Raw genomic sequence first — 18,057 nt, forward strand, 5'->3', positions numbered from 1 at the left:
ACAAACGGATAGTTACGGAACCACCACTACATCTCCAGTAATTCTCTCCTGTCCCTTTGTAGTAAGCCCCTTCCCCAGTCCCAGTCCAGCCCATGGTAAATACTAATCTGCTTTTTGTCCTCCAATTTTTACTTTTTCCAATCATGTAAATATTTCTTGTCATAAATAGAATGTAATAGTGTGTAAAAAACAAGAAGACATACAGTGGTCAGAAAACATAAAAAATGCTTCATGTCACTAATCATCAGAGAAATGCAAATCAAAAACCATAATGAGATACCAGCCCACACACATTAGAATGGTTATTATTAAAAAGCCAAAAAACAACAGATGCTGGTGAGGTTGGAGGAAAAAGGGAATGCTTATACACCGTTGGTAGGAATGTAAATTAGTTCATTGCCGGTGGAAAGCAGCTTGGAAATTCTCAAAGAACTTAAAACAGAACTACCATTTGACTCAGCAATCCCATTACTGGGTATATATCCAAAAGAAAATAAATTTTTCTACCAAAAAGACACCTTCTCTTGTATGTTAATCACAGACAATTCACAATAGCAAAGACATGGAATCAACCTAAGTACCCACTGACAGTGGACTGGATAAACAAAATGTGGTACATATACCATGGAATACTATGCAGCCATAAAAAAGAACAAAATCATGTCCTTCATAGAAACATGGATGGCTCTAGAGGCTATTATCCTAAAGCCAATTAACACAGGAACAGAAAACCAAGTGCCACGTGTTCTTGTAGACACTGGGGGCTATTGGGAGAGAGGAAGAGGGGGAAGGGTGGAATAACTATTGGGTACTATGCTCACCAGCTGGGTAATGAGATCATTCATATCCCAAACCTCAGCATCACACAATAACTTGTACATGTATCCCCTGAATCTAAAATGAAAGTTGACTTTTTTTAAAGTTCATTCCTTTTGACCAAGCACTCTACTTCTAGAATCAAAGATATTCAAAGTGGTATTATCTGTTACAGCAAGCAATTGGAAACAACTCAAATGCCCAATAATAGGGGAACAGTAAAATTTTAGAACCCAATGGCAATTTCATTAGGATAATATCAAGTCATTATAAAGGAGGGAAAAGTTTCTTATATGCTTGATAAAGAACATATAAAAAATATATAGATGTTATACAATATACAGTATGATCTCAACTGCAGTTCTAACAAAGTACAAATATTAACAGGGGTTGTCTTTGGGTGGTGATATTTCTTTTTGCTCCATTACAAAAAATGAGAAGCTATTACTTTTGTAATCACAAACATATTTTTCAGTAGTGCTCTTCAGGATTTGGGTGCCTGACTTGTCATGCATGGAAGCCATTGGGTTCATCCTCCCCCTGGGTGCAGCTAGTGCCACTTAGGTCTAAGGATGCTGGGAATCTCAGGACATTATTTTCTGGACAAAAGCTCTAGATTTATCCCAATGTTAGCCAGGAATGAGCCTTCCTTCTCTTGTAATCCAACAGGGAGCTGTGTATCTCACCTGATACGTACGAAACATATTCTTCAAATACTTGTATTCTTTTCCCATCTCCTCTGGATAAAAGGAAAACAACAGGATCATCATTAGTCTTCTGATATGCACATTTTCAAATTCAAATGTGAGTTCTTCTGCACACCTTCCCCACCCCAAACTCATCACCAAGGTAGTAAAACCTTTGTGTGCCTTGGAAATCACCCTAGAAGCTTATTAGAAATGCCATTGCCTGGACCTTCATCCAGGGTCATTCTCCCAGGTCCCAGCAGTACCTAGCTTCTCTTGGGCAGCCAACTTCTCTGCCTTCAAGGCTGCTTTGTAGTTGTTCTCCAACTCACTGAGTTCTGCTTCATGGGCCTCTTTGAGCTCCCTGTGGGACCCCAGGAGAAGGCCACAATCATTAGTAAAAAGAAGTCCAGAGCTGAGCTGTTACCCTGATCTGATCCTACCCTCCACCCTCCCACAGGAAGTGAGGTTCTCACTTTTTTATTTTTAAAATTTTTAAATCTTTTTTTTTTTTTTTTGAGTCAGAGTCTCCCTCTGTTGCCCAGAGTGAGTGTGGTGGCATGGTCACAGCTCACTGCAGCCTCAACCTCCCAGGCTCAAGTGATCTTCCCACCTTAACCTCCCAAGTAGTTGGGAACACAGGCATGTGCCACCATGCTCATCTAATTTTTTAATTTTTTGTAGAGACGGGGTCTTGCTATGGTGTCCAGGCTGGTTTCAAAATACTCCTGGACTCAAGCAATCCTCCTGCGTTGACCTCCCGAAGTGCTGGGATTACAGGCGTGAGCTACCATACTCAGCCTGGGGCCTTCACTTCCTGAAGCATTATCCTGGCATCTATCCAGAAAGGGTGAGGGGACCCTTTTCTACCATCATTGTTTTGAATGGAGCCAGCATGACCACAGATTCCCCTCTAATAGTCAGCACAGTCTTGTCTATAGCTTGCTCGGGAAACTATGGGCTGCATTGCCACCCAGGATAATTTTAGAACCCAAGTTCTCTCCAGCCTCCATTCCAGGAAGCAATGTTGGCAGTGTTTATGATGAGTATTAAAATGAGTCCATATGAGCTATCAAGCATGAAAAGACATGGAGGAACCTTTAAAGCATATTACTAAGTGAAGGAAGCCAATTTAAAAAGGCTACATAGGGTATGATTCCAACTATATGACATTCTGAAAAAGGTCAAACTATGGAGACAGTAAAGAGATCAGTGTTTGCCCAAGGTTAGGGATGGGAGGTAGGATGAATAGGCAGAGCGAAGCAGATTTTTAGGGCAGTGAAACTATTGTTATGACACTAGAATAGTGGATACATGTCATTACACATTTGTCCAAACTCATTGAATGTACAGTACCAAGAGTGAACTCTAATGTCAACTATGAACTCTGGGTGATAATGATGTGTCAATATAGGTTCATTGATTATAACAAATGTTACCACTTTTGGGGATATTGATAATGGGGGAAGCTATGTGTGTGAGGGGGCAGTAAGTATATGGGAAATCTTTTATACTTTCCCCTCAATGTTGCTGTAAACCTAAAACTCTAAAACTACTCTAAAAAATAAAGTTTATAAATAAATGAATAAGTACATAAAAGTTTATGCCTCAGCTAAGAGTGCTGTCTCTCCACCAGGATTTCTTTTTTTAATTATAAATTGATAACTTATAATTATATATATTTATGGGGTAAAAAGTGATGTTATGATTTATGAATACAATGTGGAATAATGAAACCAAACTAGTTAACATAGTCATCACCTGAAATACTTTAAAGTTTTTTCTTTTTTTTTTTCAGACGTAGTCTCTGGCTCTGTCCCCCAGGCTGGAGTGCAATGGCGCAATCTCGGCTCACTGCAACCTTCGCCTCCTGGGCTCAAGCGATTCTCTCACCTCAGCTTCCTGAGTAGCTGGGATTACAAGCACCTGCCATTATGTCCAACCAATTTTTGTATTTTTGCAGAGATGGGTTTTCACCATGTTGGCCAGGCTGGTCTTGAACTCGTGACCTCAGGTGATCCACCCACCTCAGCCTCCCAAAGTGCTGAGATTACAGGCGTGAGCCACTGCGCCCAGCCTAAAAGTTTTTTCAGTGAGAACATTTGAAATTTATTCTTAGCAATTTTGAAATGTCCAATACTCTATTATTAACTATATTTACTACTCTGTGCAATAGATCTAAGAAAATCCCATATTTCTCCTGCCTAATTGAGATTTTGTACCCTTTGACCATCATCTCCCTATTCCCCCCACCCCCTAGTCTCTTTAACCACCATTTTACTCGCTGTTTCTATGAGTTTGATTGTTTCAGATCCCACATATAAGTGAGAATATGTGGTATTTGTCTTCCTGTGCCCGGTTTATTTTATTTAGCATAATGCTCTCCAGTTCCATCCATGTTGTCACAAATGCCAGAATTTCCTTCTTTTTAAAGGCTGAATAGTATTCCATTTTATGTATATACCACATTTTCTTTATCCATTGATCAACTGATGGACACTTAAGTTGATTCCATAACTTGGATGTTGTTAATAGTACTGAATTGAACATGGGAATACAGACATCTCAACAAACTGATTTCAAATATTTTGGGTAAGCACTCGGAAGTGGGATTGCTGGATCATATGGTATTACTATTTTTAGTTTTTTGAGCAACCTCTATACAGTTTTCCATAATGGCCATACTAATTTACAATCCCACTAACACTTTGTAAGTGTTCCCTTTTCTCCACATCTTCAACACTTGTTATCTTTCGCCTTCTTGATAATAGCTATTCTGATCCATGTGAGATAATAACTCACTATGGTTTTAATTTGCATTTCCCTAATGATTAGCAATATTGAGCATTTTTTCATATGTCTGTTGGCCATTTGTATGTCTTCTTTTGAGAAATGTCTATTCAGGTCCCTTACCCATTTTTTAATTGGATTTATTTATTTATTTACTTTTTATTATACTTTTTTAGGGTACATGTACATAATGTGCAGGTTAGTTACATATGTATACATGTGCCATGTTGGTGTGCTGCACCCAGTAACTCGTCATTTAGCATTAGGTATATCTCCAAATGCTATACCTCCCCCCTCCCCCCACCCCATAACAGTCCCCAGAGTGTGATGTTCCCCTTCCTGTGTCCATGTGTTCTCGTTGTTCAATTCCCACCTATGAGTGAGAACATGCAGTGTTTGGTTTTTTGTCCTTGCGATAGTTTGCTGAGAATGATGGTTTCCAGCTTCACCCATGTCCCTACAAAGGACACAAACTCATCATTTTTTATGGCTGCATAGTATTCCATGGTGTATATGTGCCACATTTTCTTAATCCAGTCTATCATAGTTGGACATTTGGGTTGGTTCCAAGTCTTTGCTATTGTGAATAGTGCCACAATAAACATACGTGTGCATGTGTCTTTATAGCAGCATGATTTATAATCCTTTGGGTATATACCCAGTAATGGGATGGCTGGATCAAATGGTATTTCTAGTTCTAGATCCCTGAGGAATCACCACACTGACTCACTGACTTCCACAATGGTTGAACTAATTTACAGTCCTACCAACAGTGTAAAACTCTTCCTATTTCTCCACAGCCTCTCCAGCACCTGTTGTTTCCTGACTTTTTAATGATCGCCATTCTAACTGGTGTGAGATGGTATCTCATTGTGGTTTTGATTTGCATTTCTCTGATGGCCAGTGAAGATGAGCATTTTTTCATGGTCTTTTGGCTGCATAAATGTCTTCTTTTGAGAAGTGTCTGTTCATACGGTTTTGTCCTTCATTCTATTAATGTGAGGTATCACATTTATTGATTTGTGTGTGTCCAACCGTTCTTGCATCCCAGGGGATCAGTCTCACTGGATCATGGTGGATGATCCTTTCAATATGTTGCTGAATTCTGTTTGCTAATATTTAATTAAGGATTTTTGTATCTAAGTTCATTTAAGGATTTTGGCCTGTAATTTTATTTTCTTATAATGTTCTTGTCTGACTTGGTATCAGAGTAATCCTGGCCTCATAAAAATAGTGTGAACAGGCTGGGTGCGTTGGCTCATGCCTGTAATCTCAGCACTTTGGGAGGCCGAGGCAGGCAGATCACTTGAGGTTGGGAGCTCAAGACCAGCCTGAGCAACATGGAGAAACCCCATCTCTACTAAAAATACAAAATTAGCCAGGCGTGGTGGTGCATGCCTGTAATCCCAGCTACTCAGGAGGCTGAGGCAGGAGAATCGCTTGAACTCAGGAGGTGGTGGTTGTGGTGAGCCAAGATCGCACCATTGCACTCCAGCCTGGGCAACAAGAGTGAAACTCTGCCTAAAAAAAAAAAAAAAAGCTAAAAAAAAAATCATGTGAAAGTCCTTCCACCTCTTCACTTTTTTAGAAGAATCTGAGAAGAATTGATGTTAGTTCTTATTTTAAATGTCAGGTAGAATTAAGCAGTAAAGGCACCAGGTCTGGGTTTTTTTTGGATGGTAGGCTTTTTATTACTTATTCAATATCATCTTTATTGGTCTGTTCAGATTTTCTATTGTTTTTATGATTAAGTCTTGGCAGGTTTTATGTGTCTAGAAATTTATCAGTTTCTTCTAGATTATCCAATTCATTGCCATATAAATGTTCACAGTAGTCTCTTACGATCCTTTGTATTTGTCATATCAGTTGTAATGTCTCCTCTTTCATTTCTGATCTTATTTATTTGAGTCTTCTCTATTTTATTCTTAGTTTAGCTAAAGGTTTGTTGCTTTTATCTTTTCAAAAAACAACTCTTAGCTTCATTGATTTTTATATTGTTTTTCTAGACTCTATTTCATTTATTTCTGCTTTGATCTTTATTATTTTCTTTCTTCAGCATACTTTGGGCTTATTTCGTTCTTCTTTCCTAGTTTTGTGAGGTGTAATATTAGCTTCTTTGAGATCTCTGTTTTATCTACTTCTTTTAATTTGACTAAAAGCCATTTATTGAAAAGGCTATCTTTTTTCCCAGTGTGTGTTCTTGGCACCTTTGTCAAAAATCAGTTGGCTATGGGTGTATAAATTTATTTATAGGCCTCTATTCTGTTCCATTGGTCTATGTGTCTGTTTTTTTATGCCAGTATCATGCTGTTTGGGTTACTATAGCTTTGTAGTATCATTTAAAATCACGTGCCTTTAGCTTTGTTATTTTTGCTCAGGATCATTTTGGCTATTTGGGGACTTTGTGGGTCCATATGAATTTTAAGATTATTTGTTCTATTTTTGTGAAGAACATTTTTGGTATTTTAATAGGGATTGCATTAAATCTGTGTAATGCTTTGGGTAGCATGATCATTTAAACAATATTAATTCTTCCAATCCATGAACATGGAATATCTTTCCATTTATTTGCTGCTTCTTCAATTTCTTTTACCGATGCTCCATAATTTTCAGTGTAGAAATCTTCCACTTCCTTGGTTAAATTTATTCCTAGCTATCTTATTTTTTAAGCTGTCATAAATAGAATTGTCTTCTTAATTTCTTTTTTAGATAGTATATAGAAATACTACTAATTTTTTTCTTTTTCCGTTTTTATTTTAGGTTTAGGGGTACATGTACATGTATATATTTGTTGCATAGGTAAATTGTACATCACTGGGGTTTGGTGTACAAATGATTTCATTGCTCAGGTAGTGAGCATAGTACCTGATAGGTTGTTCTTGAACCCTCACTCTCCTCCCAACCTCCACCTTCAAGTAGGCCCCACCGTCTATTGCTCTCTTCTTTGTATCTATGTGTACACAATGTTTAGCTCCCACTTATAAGTGAAAATATGCAGTATTTGGTTTTCTGTTCCTGTGTTAATTCACTTAGGATAATGGCCTTCAGCTGCATCCATGTTGCTGCAAAGGACATGATTTTGTTCTTTTTTATGGCTGTGTAGTATTGTATGGTGTATATATACCACATTTTCTTTATCCAGTCCACCACTGATGGGCATCTAAGTTGATCCATATCTTTGTTATTGTGAATAGTGATGTGATGAACAAACGTATGCATGTGTCTTTTTGGTAGAATGATTTACATTCCTTTGAGTACAATACACCCAATAATGGGATTGCTGGGTCAAATGGTAGTTCTGTCTCAAGTTCTTTGAGAAATCTCCAAACTGCTTTCCACAGTGGCTGAACTAATTAACATCCCCACCAATAGTGTATAGCATTTCCTATTCTCCACATCCTTTGAAGAAATATCCAGTAGTTGAATTGCTGGTTCATATTTTTAATTTTTTGAGAAATCTCTGTAGTGTTTTCCATAATGGCTGTACTAATTTACATTTCCACCAACAGTATATAAGAGTTCCCTTTTCTCCACATCTTTGTCAATATATGTTATTTTTTGTCTTTTTATAATAGCCATTCTAACTGGTGTAAGATGATATCTTATTGTGTTTTTGCTCTATATTTCCCTGATGATTAGTGATGTTGAACACATACTTGTTGGCTATTCGTATGTCTTCTTTTAAGAAATGTCTTCTTTTAAGAAATGTCTTTTAAGAAAGATGTCCTTTACCCATTTTTAATGAATTTGTGTTTGTTTTACTGTTGAATTGTTTGAGTCCTCTGTCAAATGAGTAGTTTGCAAATATTTTCTCCCATTTAAGAGAATGTCTCTTCACTCTGTTGATGGTTTCTTTTGCGTGTAGAAGCTTTTTAGTTTAATATAGTCTCATTTGTCTTTTTTTGTTTTTGTTGCCTGTGCTTTCAAAGTCTTGGTCATAAAATCTTTGCCTAGACCGATGTCCTGAAGACTTTTCCCTAGGTTTTCTTCTAGTATTTTTATAGCTTTGGATCTTACATTTAAGACTTTAATCCATCTTGAGTTCATTTTTGTACATGATGAGAGATAGGGGTCTAGTTTCACCCTTCTGCATATGGTTATTCAGTTTTCCCAGCATCATTTATTGAAGAGGGTGCCCTGTTCCCAGTGTATGTTCTTGACAGCATTGTCAAAGATCAGTTGGCTGTAATTACATGAATTTATTTCTGGATTCTCTATTCTGTTCCATGCTTTATGTTTATATGTCTATTTTTATACTAATACCTTGCCATTTTGGTTATGATAGCCTTGATCTATATCAAGGAGTGCAGTTGGAGTGCAGTAGCATGATCATAGCTCACTGCAGCCTTGACCATCTGGGCTCAAGTGATCCTCCCACCTCAGCCTCCCAAGTAGCTAGGACTCCAGGCACACTCCATAATACCTGGCTAATTTTTAATCTTTTGTGTAGACGGTGTCTCGCTATGTTGTGCAGGCTAGTCTGAAACTCCTGGACACAAGCCATCCTCTCGCCTTGGCCTCCCAAAGTGCTGGGATTACAGGTGTGAGTCACCATGCCTGGTCTTGTAATATATTTTGAAGTCAGGTAATGTGATAACTCCAGATTTTTTTTCCCCACAGGATTGCTTTGGCTATTCTGGCTCATCTTTTGTTCCATATGAACTTTAGAATTATTTTTTCTATTTCTGTGAAAAGTGACATTGGTAATTTAGGGATTGCATTGGGCAGCATGGCCATTTTGGCGATCTTAATTCTTCCAGTCCATAAGCATGGGTGAAATGTCTTTCCATTTGTTTGTGTCCTCTTCAATTTATTACATCTGTGTTTTGCAGTTTTCCTTCTAAAGGTCTTTCACCTTTTTGGTTAAATTTATTCCTAGATATTTTATTTTATGCTTTGTAGCCAGTGTAAATGTTATTGCCTTATTGATTTCTCTTTTGGCTATTTCACTGTTGGTGTACAGAAATGCAACTGATATTTGTATGTTGATTTTATATTCTGCAACTTTACTGAATTTATTAGTTCTAAGAGTTTTTGGATGGAGTTTTTTTGTGATTTTCATATATAAGATTATGTTTTTCGGCAAAGAGAGATCATTTGGCTTCCTCTTTTCCAATTTGGATGCCTTTTATTTTTTTCTTTTGCGGGATTGCTCTGGCTAGGACTTCCAGTACTATATTGAATAGGAGCGGTAAAAGTAGCCATCCTTATCTTGTTCCAATTCTTAGAGGAAAAGTTTTCAACTTTTCCCTGTTCAGTATGATGATAGCTGCAGATCTGTCATATACAGCCTTTGTTATGTTGAGGTATGTTTCTTCTATATCTAGCTTGTTGAAAGGTTTTATTTTTTAATCATGAAGCAATGTTGACTATTATGAAATGCTTTTTCTGCATCTATTGGGATGATCACATGATTTTTGTCCTTCATTCTGTTGATGTTATATATCATGTTTATTGATTTTCATAAGCTGAACCATCCTTGCATTTCTGATATAAGTCCCACTCGGTCATGGTGTATTATATTTTTGATGTATTGTTGGATTTGGTTTGCTAGTATTTCATTGAAGATTTTTGCATCTGTGTTCATCAGAGATATTGATCCGTGGTTTTCTTTTTCCTGTTGTTGTATTGTCATCTGACTTTGGTATTAAGGTAATGCTGGCCTCACAGAATAAGTAAGGGAGAATTTCCTCCTCTTCAAATTTTTTTGAATAGTTTAAGGAGGATTACTATTAGTTCTCCTTTATATGTTTGGTAGAATTTGATAGTGAATCCATTTGGTCCTGGGCTTTTCTTTGTTGGGAGACTTTTTATTACTGATTCAACCTTGCTACTCATTATTGGTCTTGAATAATTTTCAATTTCTTCCTGATTCATCTTGTTAGATTTTATCTTTTCAGGAATTTATCTATTTTTGCTAGATTTTTTAGTTTGTTAGTGTTAGTTATAGTTGTTCATAATAGTCTCTGATGATTTCTTGTATTTCTGTGGCAACAGTTGTAATGTCTCTTTTTTCATTTCTGATTTTATTTGGGTCTTCTCTTGTCTTTTTTTGGTTAGTCTAGCTACTGGTTTATCAATTTGGTTTATTTTTTTGAAGAATCTGTTTTTTTGCTGACCCTTTGTATTGTTTTTTTAGTTTCTATTTCGTTTAGTTCTGGTCTGATTTTTATTACTTCTTTTCTTCTACTAATTTTGGGCTTGGTTTTCCAATTCCTTCAGGTGCATTATTAGATTGTTTATTTGAAATCTTTCTACTTTTTTGATGTAGGTGTTTATTGCTATAAACTTCCCTCTTAGCACTGCTTTTGCTGTATCCCACAGGCTTTGGTATATTGTATTTCAATTTTTTTTTGTTTCAAGAAATTTTTTTTATTTCCATCTTAATTTCTTCATTGTTCTATTGGTCATTCAGGAGAATGCTGTTTAATTTCCATGCGTTTGTATAGTTTCCAAAGTTTTTCTTGTTATTGATTTCTAGTTTTATTCTAATCTTATAAGTGTGCCTATCTTTGGGCCCCAGGGTGGCATATGCTGGCATTAAGTATTAGTGGGTTCAGGCAGGCCAATTCTTGGGCCTTTTAGTGTTTTTTTCAGGTGTCAGGAATGGCAGCTATGGGCTGGGCAGGTAGGTAGGTTCACGGACCCATTGGCAGTGGGTGTGTTGTGGCTGATGGCAGTAGCAATAGTGGGACAACCCTCTAGCACCCAAGTGGTACTCACTGGTATTGGCAATGGCTATGAGAAGTTGGGTGGTCTTGTCCTCAGGCCCATAGGTGGTGCATGCAGATAGGTGCCAGCAATGGTGGTAGCGGCAGGTTGAGTGGGCTTAATCTCAGACCCTGGGAGGAGTGCTCATGTGCCTTACAGGTGACATGAGTCTCTTGTAGGCAGCGTATAGTTGGTTCTTGTTTTTAAAAAATCCATTCACGCATTCTATTTTTTTTAATCAGAGAATTTAATCCATTTACATTCAAGGTAATTATTAATAGGTAAGAACTTACTACTGCCATTTTGTTAATTTTTGTTTTGTTGTTTTGTAGATTCTTTCTTCCTCTCTTGGTCTCTTCTTTTGTGGTTTGATGTTTTTTGTAGTGTATGCTTTGAATCATTTCTATTTTTGTGTTGTGCTACTGCTAAAGATTTTTATCTTTGTGGTTACCATGACACTTAGTTAGAATATCTTGTTCTTGTAATAAGCTATTTCAAGCTGACAACAAGTTTAGTTGCAAGCAATAACTCAACAGTTTTACTCCCTCCCTAACATTTTGTTTTTGATGTCAGAATTGATATCATTTTATAATATGATTTATCATTGAAAATTTATTTTAGCTATAGTTGTTATTAATAGTTTTGTGTTTTTACTCTCATATTGGGATAAAATTGTCTTACATCCCATCATCACAGTCCTAAAGTATTCTGAGTATGGCTCTATTTTGCTTATACCATTGAGTGTTGTGCATTCATATGTTTCATGTTATTAGCAGCTTTCTGTTTCCGTTTTTAAAACTTCCTTTTGCAATTTCTGTAAGGCAGGCATAGTGGTAATGAACTCCCTTAATTTTTGTTTGGGAAAGTTTCTATTTCTCCCTCAACTGGGGAAGACAGCTTTGCTAAGGTATTCTTGGTAGGCAGTTTTTTCCTTCAGCACTTTTAATACATCATCACACTGACTCCTGGCCTGCAGGGTTTCTGTTAAGAAATTACAATTGTATTGGCACTCCTTTGTATGTGACGTGTTTCTTACCTTCTGATGCTCTCAGAATTTTTGCTTTGTCTTTGATTTTTGATAGTTTGATTATTATGTGTCTTGGTGTACTCATCTTTGAGTTTAATTTGATTGAATTTGATTAGGAGCAGGTGCACAGGAACTCTCTGTACTTTCTCCTCATTTTTGCTGTAAACCTAAAACTGCTCTAACAGATAAAGTCTATAGATAAATAAATGTGTAAATGGCTATGACTCAACTAAGAGTGCTATCTCTCCACCAGGATTTCTAAGGCTGCTCTGGTGTGCAGCAAGTAGCCTGAAAGGGGATGTAGGATTATCTTCACCCATACACATAAGAAAACTCCTTTAAAAATAAATTTTATTGTGTATATTTGAGGTATACAACATGATGTCATAAGATTCATATATATATATATATATAAATCATATATATATGCATCTCTACTATAGTAACCATTATACTATATATATTACACATAATTTTTACTATATATATACACTCACACTACACAAGCATATATATATAGGTAGAGTTTATATGTATGTATATATATATATACACAAATGGTTATAATAGTGGAGATTACTATATACATATAGTAAAAAGTTTACTAGAGTGGAACAAATTAACATATCCATCATTTCACTTAGTTAACCATTTTCCCTCTGTGGTGAGAACAGCTATAAACTCATTTAGCAACAGTTCTTAATATCATACATTATTATTAACTATAGCTCTCATTTTTTACATTATATCTTTGTAAACAATATAAACTTGTTCACCCTACATATTTGCAACATTGTATGATTTGATCAATATCTCCCCATTTTCTTCCTCCTACCGGACCATGGTAACCATGTTCTATTCTCTGTCTTTCTGTATTTGGACTCCTTTCAATTTTCTCTTGATTTGACTTTGCTCCTGATTCTCTTATACTTTCTTCCTATTTTGCTGAGGCCCTGACCTAGCAGCCAGGGAGAGTAGAGGTGAGACAAAGAAAAAGAGGAGGAGGAAGAGAAGAACGAGGAGATGGTGGAGGAGGAGCCTTGGCTGAGAACAACAGTTATTTATCACAGAAATCTCATAGAGAACAAAAATGACTCTTCTCAGTAACCAACAAAAAGGGAGATTATAATTGAAATGAAAGGATTGGATGATAAAATGTAAAAGCAGTAATAACTTTCTTTGTGGTTTATTTTAGTGGCTTTGAATCAAGCCATTCTGCTCTTCAAAGACACGTGTCTTGTTCATCTCCCCCACCCTTCATCCCCCAACTCCATTTAGAACTATTTGAAGTCCCAGTGAACTAAAATCCTGCAAAGGATGCGGGACCCTTAGAGCCATCAACACACACAAGGGTCCATGCCAGAAAGTGTACCTGTTCTTGTTTTCAAAGTTCTGTTTCATCTCAGCACAGCGGAGATCCATTTCACTGGAGAGCTGGAAACAAAATCAGCATCTACAACACAGGACTGAGGACCCTGTCCCATTCTGATCTGCACCTTCTGAAAAGCCTTCCAATTTATGGGGCACAGCCGCCTTCCAATTCATGGGGCACAGCCCCCTTCCCACCCCTCTTCCACTGTGCTCTGCAGTGCCAGAGAGCACATTATTAATAAGGGAACAGAACAATTTGTGCCTTGCTCTATGTTGTTTTGTACTTATTCAGTTCATAATGTTGGTGCATCTCTTTCACTGACTATTTTTTTTGGGTAGGTCTGGTCTCCTGTGCTAGATCGTCATTTCTGTTACATCATGGCCTTCAGATTTTTGGATATGTAATCCAATTGAGCAATCATTTATTGAACAAAAGGCTTGGCTTGGAAGAGCCAAGGAGGACTAAGACTCAGATCTTGCCTTCGAGGAACTTAAAATCTAGTGTTAATCCTTGTTGACAGTATAGTTCCATTCTAGCAGGCAGGATTTGCTCACTTTCAGGTGATACTTCATTCTAACATGTCAGATCCTCTGGCCAGTGTCTCAGGATAAATCAATACTTCAAATCAGTCGGTGACCACTGTCAGCTAGGACAAGGGTTTAGGGCTTGTCCTTGTACCTCTCTGACTACTGGGGAGAAGCCAGGGACTGTGTCACACAACAAGTGGTCAGCAGAGCCACTCTGACAGACAGAGAACAGCCCAGCGTCAGCCAACACTACTCCCTTCCACAGGGCCACACAACAAATAGCATCTTCACAAGTGGCAGTATTTTCAGTAACACAGTCTAGGATCCCTTCATGGAAATAGTCTCTAAATATGTCTTCAGCAGGATCTGTGCCTATGACTTAAAATGTTCATTTTGTCCAATGATCTACCACTGTTCAGTTGAGAGATTGTATGCAAATTGTTTAACTTCCCTGAGTCTCATTTTCCTTTCTATAGAAGGAGACCATAAACCTGGCAGTGTTTTCAGATAAATAAGGTAATGAATCAATAGTTGGCAGGCGGAGGAGGGTGGTCTCAGGATAGGACCCAGCCTGAGTCATAAGCTGGGTCACTGTAGGATTCAGACACATCTGGGGCATATCAGAGGGTGAGAGGCTGCCTTCTGGGAAGTAAAACTTCACAGATGGGGTGGGGTTCAACAACCCTGGGGAGGATATTTCTGAACACAGCACTGGCTGTCACTCCAGGCCAGGCCAACAGGCACACCTGTTTGAGGTGAGGAAGAAGTCACCAGATGAAACAGATGGTAAAAGCTAAAAAGGTGTCACTGAAATCCTCAGGAATCACAAAGAGTGTCAAATGACATCTGCAGATTCTGATGTGTGGGCAGCTTTAACAGTCAGAGAGTAAGCCCTGCACATTAAGTGCGCTGGTGTCGTTAGTGAGAGCCTCACAAGCTCTGAAACTTAATTGCACCACAAAGGCCAGACAGAAAACAACAAGTGCACCCTAGTGTGAGGAGGACAGTGTCACTGCACACACACAGAGGTACTTGGAGAGCTCCTGGAAATAAATGAGTTAAGCTTTGTGGAAGAACTTGAGTTCTTGGAATTACAGATAAAGATGTCAGAGAAATACTACTGAGTGACACAGTCCAATCTTTAGGGTCCTGTCACCTGGACAACATGGCTCATATGAGTAAAGTGCTTGGCATTTTGCCTGGCACATAGGTGATTCAAAAATATTAATTTTATTTTGTCCATGAAGATGTTAGCTAATGTAAGGTCACTCACCAATTTCTGGGCAGACTGGTGGTCTCTGTTCATTTGTTCAATTATTGCTGTCAGCTCTGAGATTTGCTCTTCTAGGTCAGAAATGATGTTGGTCCTGTAGGAGAAGTAATTCTTCTATCATCCACAAAGCTTACCATTCCATGCCATTCAGGCCCCTGAGCATGACTGACTCTGGCATGGTGAGAGCTGGCCTGGTGAGAGCTGGCCATGTTCTGCACCTGCTCTATCATTATGGGGTGGGGGTGGAGGGATAGGGGTGGTCTTACAGAAGGCATTTGGCTATAGGGCAGTTGAGGCTCAGATCTGGCTCTTGTGGGTAAGCTCACTAGACTTGAACAGGATGGTTTGGTGCCCTACCGAATAGAAGGAAAATAAGAATATGTCAGAAATTTATTAGAGTTTGACCTTGATTTGGTAATGATAGTTGAAACAGAGGACGAAGTTCAGAGGATTAGGAAATTAGAAGATGTGCAATAGGATTGATGCTGGCTGTGAACCACAGACAAGGATTGGGCCAGAGATGGGACTAAGAGGGTATTTAAGAGAGTGGCTTTCAGCACAGGTCATGGTTTTCTGTGTTTCTGGGTCTAAGGCTGCCATGGTATCTGTAAATTATTTAGCTCTGTCTGGTTGGGCTAGAGTGACAAGGCAGCAGGTGGTGCCATGTGCAGTGGAGCTGAGAGGAAGTCCTCAATGCAAGATGCTTTGACCTCTTTGGCCAACCACTTTGCATGTCTAACTGAGCACAGAGAGAATGTGGGCTGATAAAACAAGAGAGGAGATACAGGAGGAGACAGTTCAAGGGTAAGAGAAAGAAAAGGCTTGAGAAAGTTGAATAATAGGGAGCCCCTATCTTTTGAACACAATCTTCAATACAAACAACACCCACAACTTTACCAGGGAATACAACAAGCACAGGTTATCATATTTTATTGTGCACAACTGGTGACAACTTCCTTGTGAGGCCAAGAGGTGGCTGTCGGTGCTAGCTTGACTATAGGTGCATGACCCATTCTCTTCCTGCAGAGGGCTGTGGATAAGCAGGGAAAAGAAAGCAGAGGCTGAATGCCCCTGGGTGGGAAGACAAGATAAGCAGGGTGAATGCCCCTGGCCCCTGGGTGGCCCTCTGGGCCAGGTCAGATCAGGGAGACTCCATGGCATGGCCTCATTCTACTTGAGGGGCCTTCAGACTCACCCTCAACCTGAATCCCTTCCCCAGATGTAACCACTGCTAACGGTTTGGTTGAATTCTGCCAATACACTAGCAGATAGGTAGATGATTGTGTGTGTGTGTGTGTGTGTGTGTGTGTGTGTGTATGTGTGTGTGTGTTTTCTATTGTTGGTCTTTTAGACTTGTGTGTTGAAAAAATAATTCTTACAGCAAAATCAGCCTGAGGGAAGAGGCACTTGGAGAGCCATTCAGTAGTGCAGTTAAGAAGTAAGATGCCTGAACATGGGCAGGATATCAGAGAAGAAGATATGAATAAGAGATTAAAGGGTAGAATGAAAAGATGTAGAGATGAATCTGCATCTGTTAATGAAAAAAGAAAGACATGGAGATATACTTGATATGGCATTGGAGGACAGAGAGTGGGTGGAGCCTGAAGACAGACAGGACAGCTGTGCTAATGGGTTAGAGTCAGGCCAGAACCTTCCACACTGCATCTCCCGGGGGCATGAGCTGAGTAGTATTTTTGGACATAATGAAAAAGAGGCTGGGCGCAGTGGCTCACGCCTATAATCCCAGCACTTTGGGAGGCTGAGGCCAGAGGATTACCTGAGGTCAGGAGTTTGAGAACAGCCTGGCTAATATGGCAAAATCCCATCTCTACTAAAGCTATAAATATTAGCCGGGCGTCATGGTGCAAGCCTGTAATCCTAGCTACTCAAGAGGTTGAGGCGTGAGAATAGCTTAAACCTGGGAGGCAGAAGTTGCAGTGAGCTGAGATCGTGCCACTAAACTCCAGCCTGGGTGGCAGAGAGAGACTCTGTCTCAAAAAAAAAAGTGCACTCCAGCCACCCAGAAACCCTCACTTTACTTAATTTGCATGCCTCAAATTCAGACTAATTTATGGCTATTCTATCTATTCCTCACCCCACGAACAATTGCTATCCTTTGGGATCAATCACATAACTCCCAATCTTCATCCTGCCCCTTGGATCTGCTCACGGATGGGATCAGAGCAGAGAGGCAGATGTGGAGAGATGCATCATCAGGAAGCAGGGGCGAGGAGGGAGGTGCCCTTGCGGCCCCTCCAGAGCAGGGACCAGTGGCCTGGGTGTGGGCATAGCGGCTTTGGCTTGTCCCTGAGGCCGGGCTGAGCTGGGTGGGAGTAGCCCCAAGCAGCTGCATGTTGCTGCAACAGCATTACCTGGAAAATCTGCCTTTGTCCGGGATCTCCGATTCCCACCGCTTTTTCCTATCAAACATCTCATCCCCTAAGGTGACAGAAATCTGTTCCCGATTCCGAACAAGTTGATAGCCAGGTGACACGTTGATCACTTCCTAGGCATCAAGGGAAAGTAAGATAAAATGGCAGACTTGGAGTGCTGAGATTTTTCCAAATCTTCTCTTATTGCCTCACTCACATCTTAAAAACAGGGACCTGGGACTCCACAGCCCAAGCCCTTCTGGGCCCTTCACCCATTATAGCTCATTCTCACATCTCTCCGACTCAAATCTGATGCTTAGCAGGCTCCTGGGTGTCCCTAGGGGCCTCTCAAGCTCTGCGCCAAACCAAGCCACTGATGCCCCTGCCCCCGACTTGTGTTCACCCTCGTGGCCAGAGCCCAGAGGAGGTGGGCATGCGGCAACTGCTCGGGTTTTGGAATCACAGAGGCCTGAGTAAATCTTG

At 39.4% G+C, this 18,057-nt stretch overlaps 1 protein-coding gene across 12 annotated transcripts in view; it reads right to left on the reverse strand.

Moving 5' to 3' along the window:
* Positions 1 to 18,057, reverse strand: part of FLACC1 (flagellum associated containing coiled-coil domains 1) — a 76,019-nt gene that overhangs the window by 40,697 nt on the left and 17,265 nt on the right. For 9 of the 12 annotated variants that reach the window (XM_024452696.2, XM_047443393.1, NM_001289993.2 and 6 more), the window contains 5 exons: positions 17,575 to 17,708; positions 15,203 to 15,296; positions 13,403 to 13,464; positions 1,769 to 1,866; positions 1,503 to 1,555 (listed from right to left, as the gene is read on the reverse strand). In XM_024452696.2, coding sequence (XP_024308464.1) covers positions 1,503 to 1,555; positions 1,769 to 1,866; positions 13,403 to 13,464; positions 15,203 to 15,296; positions 17,575 to 17,708 — 441 coding nt within the window. Of the gene's footprint in view, positions 1 to 1,502; positions 1,556 to 1,768; positions 1,867 to 13,402; positions 13,465 to 15,202; positions 15,297 to 17,574; positions 17,709 to 18,057 lie in introns of those variants that run through there. The other 3 variants (XM_011510610.4, NR_110620.2, XM_011510612.4) reach the window with 3 other exon arrangements.

The sequence above is a fragment of the Homo sapiens genome, chromosome 2 (genome assembly GCF_000001405.40).
Source record: "Homo sapiens chromosome 2, GRCh38.p14 Primary Assembly".
Lineage (NCBI taxonomy): Eukaryota > Metazoa > Chordata > Mammalia > Primates > Hominidae > Homo > Homo sapiens.